Source organism: Homo sapiens, chromosome 6 (assembly GCF_000001405.40).
Source record: "Homo sapiens chromosome 6, GRCh38.p14 Primary Assembly".
In the NCBI taxonomy this organism is placed as follows: domain Eukaryota; kingdom Metazoa; phylum Chordata; class Mammalia; order Primates; family Hominidae; genus Homo; species Homo sapiens.
Window position 1 is genome coordinate 148,682,330 of NC_000006.12, and position 12,149 is coordinate 148,694,478.

Here is a 12,149-nt window from a genome sequence, read left to right on the forward strand (position 1 = left end):
TACGCATCAGGCCAGAATATGCTCAGGAGCTACAGAATTGTTTATTTAAACACACACACGTGCGTGCACACACACGTGCATACACACACATGCACACACAGGCTCACGTGCACACAAGCACACACGTGGACACACACACACACAGGCACATGTGAACGTACACACGTGTGTGCAAGCACACATGCGTGCATGGACACACACCACGCACACACACACTCGCACACACACACATTTTTTCTCTTATTAGAAAAGTAACATTTTGGAAATCTCAGGGAAAAAAATTGATAAACCAAAAGATAAAAACAATGCCACATTGAATTTCACACAGAGCTGTCTTTGTGGATATCCTTTCATTATTTTGCCTATTCGTGTGTGTGTTCCCGTGTGCACGTGTACATGTGCACATGTGATCATAAAAAACTGGACAGAATTCTGTTATTAAAAAGTCCCAATTTAAAATAGAATAGTTTGGTCTAAGTTTAAAATTACATTTTAAGATATGGCTTATTATACCATGTTTGCTTTAAAGATGACCTCTCTACAGCTTATGCTAACTCTCCAGTAGCTTCCATAAAATATTAAAAACTAGTTCTGCCTCTCCTAAAGGAAGGCACTTTTATTTTCTTACACTCATTTTAATGCCTAAAATAAGAGCTTCCTCCCTCTCCCCCAATATGGTCACTATCTTCAGGACGTACTAAATCAGGAAGCTTCTCAATTCTTTCTTCCTCTACTAGTTCCTCTTTTTGGAAGAAGTTACTTTCTTAACTGGACAGATGGAAGAGTCCAACAGGCTCTGAACTGAGCCAAAGCAGAAGTGGAATCCAACACCAGGGAGCAGGTCCACATCTCCACCTCCTCCCATTTCACCTTCCCTCGTGGTGAGCTCAGCAGGAAGGGCCTCTCCTGACTGAAACTCCCCAGCCGCATTGTCTGTGGCTGCGAGGGGAAGTCAGATTCAGCCGGGGGAGAAGAAGGAAGCCTCACTCTCCCCCTAACCCTTTGGCACTCTGTGACCTCCCATCTGTCTCCTGTTTACACAGCAAACTGATTAGAACCCAGAGGAGAGCAAGAGTATGATTAGTCAGCACCCCAAATCTCAAGAATGGTCCCTATAGGATACGCTCTGTATGTTGTAATATGCAGATATGTGCACCGTGTGTGGTGTGTTAAGTATACATTGTAGATTATACTTACATTGTAATGTGCTTGTACATTAAATTACAAGTAGATTTTTATAAATTGCACAGGGAAGTTTCAACTTCCTTTAGGGCTCCATAATTAAGCTTCCTAGAATAGCTTAGAAAACAAATTTGCAATCATGTCAAAGCTAACCTATAACTTTAGTATAAAATTTAGCAAAATACATGCTGGGTAAAGAGCCATTGAAATATACTTTAAAACCACCAACCATTCTCACTTAGGTGAGAGCAACAGGGTAAGTTTCATTTACTTAGAAGTTAGTTTTGTTGTTTTTTAGTTTAGGGCCTGGCTAAGGCTCCTTCATTCCCTCTGCATTCTTCATACCTCACGTCTGTAAATACCACGAGATGCTCCCCACATGCAACTGTCCAGAAGCATGTCATCCCATTCTCAGTCTCAAATGGACTTTGTTCTTTTCAAAGGAAGAGAGGTCTTACCTGAGGCAGAACTGCAGCCACTCCTGGGATTTAGACACTTCCGGTTACGTCTGGTGGGCAGGTAGGATGAGATGATGAAAGCCTATTTCCAGAGGCTAAGGAGGTTCCTAGGAGGTAATTCATCCTAAGGGAAGAAGGAACCGGGCACAACCAGCTTGATACCGCCATAGAGGCTTCGTGGTCAACGGTGGGGAGGAATTTGGAGCACAGTGTTGTGCCAGTTTCACAGATCTGTCATCAGTACACAAGACTCTACATCTGGGTTCTAGGAAGAGAAGGGGCTGTAAGTCATAATTGGAGCATTTATTTATTTATTTAGGCTAACACTGGGATATACTTGCTTTGCTTGGGTAATTCCCTAAAGGAATGTGATATGAGAGAGATAGGGAAGGGGACAGTGGCCAGCAGACAGTGTTGGTACCTGGAAGCTTCCCAGGCATCGCTGGTGGCAGCTGAAGCTGTGGTCGTAGGCAGAGGTCTGTGCCTACAGCAGCACTACCCAGAAGGAGACCACCAGGTCTGGAGGGTGTGGTGGGCCCTGCAGAATCTGGGTGGGGCTCTCCTGAGGCAGCATCAGGGGTGATATCCTGCAGGGGCAGGGCCAGGGCCAGCAGAGCAGTCTGCTCCCAAGGACCCTGGGGTTAAGGGATGGAATGCTTACTAATTATACTCTAAATCTGGACCTCCGGGCTCAAACTGCCAGAAGCCCAGACAGGATGGAGGGATAAGAAAAGGAAACAGGAAATACTCAGAATTAAAGAAGAAATAGAGGTGCTAAAAGACCTTCTTACTGACACAGGTATCAGAATGGATAGATGGAAGATGACCTGAAACCTGGCCAGACACATTTCTAAGCACATGTGAAATGCATATGGGGAACCCTCAAGAGGAGGCTTTTGGTAGCTGGGGACCCACATGAATAGGTAGATTCTTGTTTCACTACAACAAAAATTATATCAAAGCGAAACAAAACTTGAACACAGAAACATCTATACTGGCCTAGAAAAGTGGAGACGAGAGGGAGGGAGAGAAATTGTCAAGGATTAAATTATGTTTGCAATCTCAAAACACATTCTGCAGCAGAGCCTGGGAGTCTATGTGTCCATTTATGTAATTTAGAGTGTTTTGTTCAACCATGATTTTGCAGGTTGGGCAGAGGTGGGGTGGGAGACTGATATTCATTGTTGCACAAGATGTTTTTGAATGGCAGAAATTAATTGCTGTTCATTCCATCTCAGGTTATACTATTTTCGTAGGATAACCTGAATTCATCTCAGTGATGCATCTTCAATGGGACTGAGGTATGTGTGCTTAGAATAGACTAAGAGCAGGAATTGCAGTGTTAGAAGGACTTGTGGTTTGCTCTTGTTTGGATTACCTTCCAGAAATAAAAATAATATATAAAACTCCAGCTGCCCCTTAGCACTAACTACATTAAGTTTAAGCATTACCCAGTGATATATAAATAAAAATGCCACATTATTTTTATGGAAAGTAATTTAAAGCCCCATAAATGGAGTCATATTTATCTGTGATTCTCACTGCTGTTAAGACCCCGTCTGTATCTCCTTCATTTCAGGGAAACCTGAAGTTCCTTCAGAAATAAAAAGGGTAACTTCCTGGTCCCAGTAACCTTTATAACTAGGATACTTTATTTTTTTTCTAAAATCTTACTTAGGGCTGGGCACGCTGGCTCACGTCTGTAATCCCAGCAGTTTGGGAAGCCGAGGCAGGCAGATCGCTTAAGGTCAGGAGTTCAAGACTAGCCTGGCCAACATGGCGAAACCCCATCTCTACTAAAAATACAAAAATTAGCTGGGCATGGTGGTGGGTACCTGTAATCTTAGCTACTCGGGAGGCTGAGTCAGGAGAATTGCTTGAACCTGGGAGGCAGAGGTTGTAGTGACCTGAGATAGCACCACTGCACTCCAGCCTGGGTGACAGAGCAAGACTCCATCTCAAAAAATAAATATATAATAAAAAAAAATCTTAGAGTTTGAGGATGCAGAATTTAATTTAATGTTATCAGGGCAATGTTTTTTTCTTATCTTGGGGTTACTTAGCTTAAATACTTTTCCTTTTTAATTATTAGAGAGACAGTGTGAGATCCTAAGTAGATATTGTAGAATCTCATCAAGGTATCTCTGACTCTCAAAAAGTCATTTTTGAGACGGTTGAGAGAGACAAAAGGACAACATAGACAAACTCATCTTTTTTTTAACAGCTTTATTAAGGTATAATTGATTTGCAAAAAACCCTGAACATTTAATGTATACAATTTGATGGGTTTGGACATAGGCACACACCTGTCTATAACCACAATCAAGGTAATAAACATATCCATCACTTCCAAAGCGTTTTTGTATGTTCCTTTGTGTGTATATGTTTATTTTGCTTTTGTTTGTTGTTGTTGTTTTGTGGTAAGAAACAAATCCATCTTTAAGTTCTAGGATCCAATCAACAGGGGCCAGTATACACAAACTAGTAGTCACAAAATGATTTTTAGCACTTAAAATGCTAAGAATAATTTTTCATAATCATTCATATTTTCTTTATCTCCCTCTTCTTCCTACACCTTCCCCCCTACTCAGCTTTGATACTTTCCCGTACTTCTCTTTTCCTTATTTTACTATTTTTTCTATTTCATTCTTCCACCTTATTTGGCTGACCCAAACAGGCCACTTAATTTTTTTTTATTATTTAAAAAAGTTTTCCATAGGTTATTGGGGTACAGGTGGTGTTTGGTTACATGAGTAAGTTCTTTAGCGGTGGTTTGTGAGATTTCGGTACACCTATCACCCAAGCAGTATACACTGCATCCTATTTGTTGTCTTTTATCTCTCACCCCCTTCCCACGCTTCCTCCCAAGTCCCCAAAGTCCATTGTATCATTCTCATGAACAGGCCACTTTAACATGTGATGGAATGACATGCTTTAAAGATGTTATGGCCAAACGTTCAAGAAAGCTGTTTCACAACACTATCAAAAGCCACGTGAATATGCAGTCTTGGAGGAAATAGATGATAACAAATAATAATTGAGTTCATACCATGGGCCAGGCACTGGCTTTCATAGGAGAATTTATTTAATCTTTACCACAACCTGTGCTGTATCCTTCTGATTTTGTACATGAGGAAACTAAAGAACAGAGAGGAGTTCAAGACCAGCCTGGCCAACATGGTGAAATCCCGCCTCTACTAAAAAATACAAAAATTAGTTGCGCACCCGTAATCCCAACTACTTGGGAGGCTGAGGCATGGGAATTGCTTGAACCCGGGAGGTGGAGGTTGCAGTGAGCCGAGATCACGCCACTGAACTCTAGGCTGGGTGACAGAGTGAGACTCCATCTCAAAAAAGAAAAAAAAAAACAACCCAGAGAGATGAGGTACTTTGCTCAAGAGCACACAACTGGGATTTGAACAAAGGAAGTCTAGGTCTGAAGCTGGCATTCTTTACCAGGGTAATCCTCAAAGTGTACAGCCCTGTGCTGATATTTTTTATGGGGCTCCCAATTACACAAACAATTTTATTAAAATGTATTATACAATTCATGGGCCCATGTAAGGAATTGTGATTTATCAATGAAGATTTAGAATAATGAGTAGAGAGGAGGGGCCTACATGCTTGGTTATCGTCAAATCAGTTCAACCAGAAGATGATTCCTCATAGTGTCCAGGTACCATATCTTCCTGTGCAGATCCAGGAACCATCTTCCCAGACTTTATTTTCAAATGTTCCATTCCAGGCTAATTTCCTGTCTTTCCCAGTGAGATGAAAGGAGTAATACCATTGTGGTTCACAATGCCTTGACTTTTCAACTGGAAACGACATAGATCTTGTTGCCTCTGAAGGTCCTTAACACAATGTATTTCATCTGACTACATTATCATTCATGATGCTACATGCTCATCCATCCTCAGCTCATAAAAACTGGCTTCCAATGAGCCTCTCAGAGGCGGTTCCTGGGCTTCACTAAGTGACCGACTTGGGTGTCAAATGCAGGGGAGGGACAGAGTAAAAGAGTCCTGCAACCCCACCCCACTCCACTGCCCTTAAGTGCTGTAGACTAGTGGTGCCTCTGTGGTTAGAACTTACACAGGAAGAACTGATGCAGGTGCCCAAACATGTGTTCAATTCCAAGAGCAGATGGTAGATCCACAGTGATCATCAGAAGACTCAAGCCCTGAACCTATCCTGGGTCTGCAGTAAGAAAGCCCACTCTCAAAACAGATTATTAGTTATGTTGCAAACACGTGCAATGCTCTGTAACTTTTTAAAATGGAATTTGAATACCTCTTGCATAATTTGCTTAATTTGGTAAAATTCCTAGAAATTTTGCATAGGTTAATAGGAAGCTACCAGAAGCCCTCTGAGAAATTGCTTCCCTTATGGTCCTTGATGTTAAAGTTTCTTTAGTAATCAATGATTTGTACTATTTGCATATTTGGGCATTTATTTTAAAAAATAATTATTTGTGCACTTCCTATGGGTCCTCACTATTTTAATTGTTTCACAAATATTAGTTCATTTCACTTCCATAACAATCCTGTTTCATAGGCACTATTATAATTTGTTTGTTGAGGAAAAGTCGAGTTAAATAACTTGCTAAAGATTACACAGCTAGTAAGAGACAGAGCTGGGATCCCTACCCAGACAGTATGCACACTTAACCACTACACTCACCTGTGTCTACAGGATATAAACAATGGGTCCCCCAAAATGAACTCCTGTAGTCCTTGCCAAACCAGAAGCTGTCTTTTCTCTCTCTAGGTACCTGTCAAAGAGAAATGTTGATGTCCATGAATTCTTAAACACTTTTACATTTATACATTGTAAATTTGAGGCTATTTCTGTCAGGAGTCTGAAAATTTACTGGGTGTGATAGTTAATATTGAGTGTCAACTTGATTGGATTGAAGGATGCAAAGTATTGTTCCTGGATGTGTCTGTGAGGGTGTCACCAAAGGAGATTAACATTGGAGCCAGTGAAATGGGAAAGGCAGACCCAACCTCAATCTGGGTGGGCATCATCTAATCAACTGCCACCATGGCCAGAATAAAAGCAGGAAGAAGAACATGGAAAGACTAGACTGGTTTAGTCTTCTGGCCTACATCTTTCTCCCGTGCTGGATGCTTCCTGCCCTCGAACATCAGACTCCAAGTTCTTCAACTTTGGGACTCATACCTTCGACCACAGGCTGAAGGCTGCACTGTCGGCTTCCCTTCTTTTGAGGTTTTGGGACTTGGACTGGCTTCCTTGCTCCACAGCTTGCAGACGGCCTATTATGGGACCTCACCTTATGATGGTGTGAGTCAATACTCCTTAATAAACTCCCCTTATATATACATCTAGCCTATTAGTTCTGTTCCTCTAGAGAACGCTGACTAATACACTGGGTAATGCTACTGCAAGTAACAGCCATGATGGGGAGTGTCAGGAGAGACTGCTAATATAAAATCTAACTGTCAATGTATTTCAAAGAATGTCCTGCTGTGTTTCATCATTGCACAGGCTGTCTCTGTGTGGCAATATAGAAAGGAGCTTCCTTTCCATCACATTGGTTAAGTTCTTTGATAATGTGAAAAATAGCAAGAAAGTAAAGATCAGGGTTTTTCAATTACTTTTTAATAGGAGGCAAAGGTGTTTGTGGTTTTTTTTTTTTTTTTGAAACTAATAACAACTGGCTATAGGTCCTTTCCCATCTACCAATACTGTCTCAACTTCAAGGTTGTATAGAGAAGTATTCTCATTGTCTAAACATTCATTATCAAGTCCCTGATATTATGAGATTGCAAAAGATGTAGCAAGCTGGAAAATTCTAACAATCACCTGATCCCATTTACAAAGCAGTCTCCAGCCATGCTTCAAAATCTTGGTTATCTGAGTATTGATGATAATTTTATGGTATAAACATTCTACAATACAATGCAAATTAACTCAAAGAAAAATTGCCAATTTTGCCATCTATATAAGATGACATAAAGTCATTGAAAAGAATACTAAAGAATTATCCTATTCACAAAGCCACTGGCAAATAAGGATCTCACAGAATTAGAAGAGTTGACAACTGAAGAAGAGAAATTTGACAAGGATGATGATACTTGGAAAAGAATGATTTTAATAAAAAAGGATTAAGAAAAGATCTTGTAAAATGTGAGGAAATTCTTGAATATATTTGCAAAGAAAAATGATCCTCTTTCTAGTTTGCAAAGGAAGACAAATGCAAACTTTGCTATCAGATAACTTTGTGGAAAAATTCTACCCCTGAAAAAGCAATAAGTAGTTAATTACTCTTTTATCCTAAGAATTATCACAACAGATACAATTACAACCTTAAAGTTTTTAATGTAATATAAAACAATTTTCATAATTTTAGCTTCACTTTTCATACGATCCTAGTCAAACTTTCTTTTTTATTTTCTATTTACTATTAAATTTTGGTTCCCATTTTGTGCAGATTCACTGTGAAGTGGATCCTTCCTGGTATCAATTATTCTTGGATAATGAGGACTTTCTGTACTTTATGCTGACAGAACAAGGGCTAAATGGGGTTACCAAGACAAGATTGCAGGCTCATCTTCAACTTCACTTCAGTAAAAAACTATTCTAAGGACCACAGAGACTGAAATGCAATGAGTTGAAGCACTTTTCACCTTGCTTCCCATTCAAGATTTATGTCCTCATGACAGCTTTGATGAAGGCCTTGCAGCCCTGCAGACAGAGGCTGATGCTGACATTTCTGGATTTAGCAGAGACATGGTAAAGACTCAGTTCTCCAGAGTAAACCCAGTTGAATCTGGGTCCTCAGGCAGAAAGGTCTTTTCCTTAGAAAATTATTCTAAGAATTCTTAGAAAATTATTCTAAGACTAAATACGCTGCATTGCCATGCACAGAGATGCATAATATTAACTCAGCAAGTTCTTAGAAAAACCTCCTCTTTTTCTTTGTCCCAGAAATACTCTTATTCAGTTCTTACATACTACGGATAGTACTAAAAATGTGGGTGAAATGGTTCCCTGACATAATCAGATATTTTATTTACTTATAGATGCATCATGGTGTTATTTTCTTGCAAATGACTTAATAACAAGTAATTATTTTGTAAAATGTCTCTTAAAAATGACCTATAAACACATTCAGCTCTCCAGAATTCTGCCTCTCTCACAAAAATAATCTTCCTGTAGATTTTAGAATTTTTTGTTGTATACACTGTACAATAATCTTAGTTGATGAGGAAGTATAAATGCTAAAGATTAATCCTCAATTTAAATAATTTCTTACTTTTGGAAACTCCATTGAAACTGAGCAAATATCTGTTTAAAAGAGTACAAATTATATTTAAATATTCAACATACTAATATGAAAATAGAAGTCTTTCAAAAATCCATAAGCAGCTTTCTTTTTAGTCAATTATTTTTCCTCCTGGCTACTATAAAATGTGACTAATAAGTCAATAGCACCTTTCCTAAAAGGTTATAACCAAAAAATATAATCTTTGTTTCTGCTGAACATGAACTGTTTGAGTTTCTTGATGACAAGTCATGCCAATTTCGCCTCTACTCAAAAGAGACAGACCTCCACTCCTCACAGAGTCAGAAACTATTCCATGTTAAACACAACTTACATTAGAAGGCCTTGTGGCAATGGTACTTAAAATAACATCATTTAAAAGAGATCTTTAATTTGGAAAACAAAGATTTAAAACAAACAAACAGCAACGAATAAAAAACCAAGCCCATTGAGATGTAGAGCTATGGCAAAATTGTCACGTGTCTGTACTGGAATATTAGTAATACAAGCATTAAGGCATCTTAATATTAGTCTCCTCTCAATAATTTTTTTTTTTTTTGAGATGGAGTCTGGCTCTGTCACCCAGGCTGGAGTGCAGGGGTGCCATCTCCACTCACTGCAACCTCCACTTCCCGGGTTCAAGTGATTCTCTCACCTCAGCCTCCCGAGTAGCTGGGACTAGAGGCACCCACCCACCATGTCTGGCTAATTTTTGTATTTTTGGTAGATACAGGGTCTCAACATGTTGGCCAGGCTGGTCTTGAACTCTTGATCGCAGTTGATCCCAACCCCTCAGCCTCCCAAAGCGCTGGGATTACAGGCGTGAGCCACCATGCCTGGCCCTCTCAGTAATTTAGATGTCAGTTTGCCAATCTGCCAGACAGTTTTCTTGTGTTTTGTTTTGTTTTGTTTTGTTTTGTTTTGTTTTGAGACGGAGTCTCGCTCTGTCGCCCAGGCTGGAGTGCAGTGGCGCGATCTCAGCTCACTGCAAGCTCCGCCTCCCGGGTTCACGCCATTCTCCTGCCTCAGCCTCCGGAGTAGCTGCTTGTTCTTTTGCCTCTCTTTTACCCTTGGTTTCCCTCCTTCCAAACACAAGGCCCATTGGAGCATCCACTACAAGGAGGATATAACAATTGGAAATGAAACTTGAATTTGTCTGCTTCAACAGTTGTTTGCAACTCTAATTCAAAGAGCTGAATTTAAAATGTTGATAGATTTAGGATCGTTTTTATGCACTTCCATGATTTGTACCATTCCTGGTGAATTTTCTTTTTGTGTGATCAATGTGTATTCCCCTGCACCAAGTGTTAAGAAATGAAACATGCCATTAACTTCATTTTTTTTTTCAAAAATACATGTAAATCTAACTCTGATAGAAAACTTAAAGGCAGTCATCACTGGGACTCGATTCTCTATTTCTTTCTATCACCCCCAATTGCCAGCCAGGATCCCTTTACAGCTTCTATAGTCTTACACAAGGCACAACATTTGGGAAGCTCCACTTCTCTGTGGCCCATTCTGGCCAACCTTGATATTGATTACACTTGCCTAAGGCTTCGTAGGCCTTGGGAGCTGCACCACAGTTTGAGTGCCACCCCTTAGACAGGAGGGTGCAGTGCTTTGGGATCAGCTGCTGGAGATGGGCACTCCCTCCTGCTCCTCTGAGGTTCTATACCCTCCTTCAGTTGCTAAAACTAAAAACCTAACTACTGTTCCCTTCTTGTCTAGATTAATCATTCTCTCTCATCCCTTATCTTCTCCTTCACCCCCAAATTGGTTACCTGTCTCTGTTTCTTCTGTCAAAGACTCTCGATTATTTTGTTTTCAAAAACAAAACCCAGAAAGAGAGACTGTCCTCAGGCAACTTCCACTTGACTTTGAAACATAGAGTTCCCCAAGAAGGAAATCCCAAAGTCCATCACACTTCTTGGAAAAATATAAAGAAATAAATAAACGAGAAGAGTCAAATATAATAGATCTCAATAATGATCAATTATGACGTCGTTTAGATAAACAATAAGAAACATAAAAATGCCAAAAAAATTTGCAATGAGTAAGATGATGAATAAAGAACATCAAATGGAGGTGGAAAAAAGTTGTTTCTGGCCATCATTAAAAACTAAGTTGTTTTGATTTAATCTGAGCTCAGATTTTTTTTTTTTTTTTTTTTTGAGACAGATTCTTGCTCTGTCACCCAGGCTGGAGTGCAGTGGCATGATCTCTGCTCACTGCAACCTCCATCTCCTGGGTTCAAGCAATTCTCCTGCCTCAGTCTCCTGACTCAGTCTCCTGAGTAGCTGGGATTACAGGCACATGCCACCATGCCTGGCTAATTTTTGTATTTTTAGTAGAGACAGGGTTTCGCCATCTTGGTCAGGCTGGTCTTAAACTCCTGACCTCATGATCCATCCGCCTTGGCCTCCCAAAGTGCTAGGATTACAGCCATGAGCCACTGTGCATGGCCTGAGCTCAGATTGCTGACAAAGACTGTGTTCACATGATTGCTGGATTCCACACCCCCAATTCAAAAGAGAATCTCCAGCTTTGATATTTTGGCCTTCAAAAATCAATTCCAATAACATTCAATGTTCCTTCAAGGAAAGGCATTGATATGGTTTGGCTCTGTGTCCCCACCCAAATCTCATCTGAATTATAACCCCCACATGTTGAGGGAGGGACCTGGTGGGAGGTGACTGGATCATGGGGGCAGTTCCCCCATGCTCTTCTCCTGATAGCAATTGAATTCTCATGAGATCTGATGGTTTTAAAGTGTGGCACTTCCTCACTCTCACTCTCTCCAGCTGCCATACAAGACATGCCTTGCTTCATTTCCTGAGGCCTCGCCAGCCATGCAGAACTGTGAGTCAGTTAAAGCTGCTTTCTTTATAAATTACCTACTCTCAGGTAGTATCTTTACAGCAGTGTGAAAACAGACTAATACAGGCATGTACACCAAATGTCCTTCAAAATCACCAAGTGCAGATTCTTGGATCCTATTTGAGACTACTGCTCTGTGTCGTATTGATGACTTTGCACTGTTATAGGAGTCTACACACTCAGGCCCAACACATGACCTAATCAGAGCCAAGTATTCTTTCAGTCATTGTCCAGTTAAAAATGTCCATCTCACCTAGGCGTAAGGCAGCACTTGGTACCCTGTGCTCTCACTGGCCCTGCCAGTGGCCCAGCCTCTTAGGCCTTAATCCCTAACCCTGATC

General features: G+C 40.4%; 1 annotated feature.

Moving 5' to 3' along the window:
- Nucleotides 11,748–11,907: an enhancer, noted in NCBI's record as "active region_25235". NCBI's record gives its function as "activates an Ori minimal core promoter by ATAC-STARR-seq in GM12878 lymphoblastoid cells {active_cell/tissue: GM12878}" and the evidence as "EXISTENCE:reporter gene assay evidence [ECO:0000049][PMID:35858748]".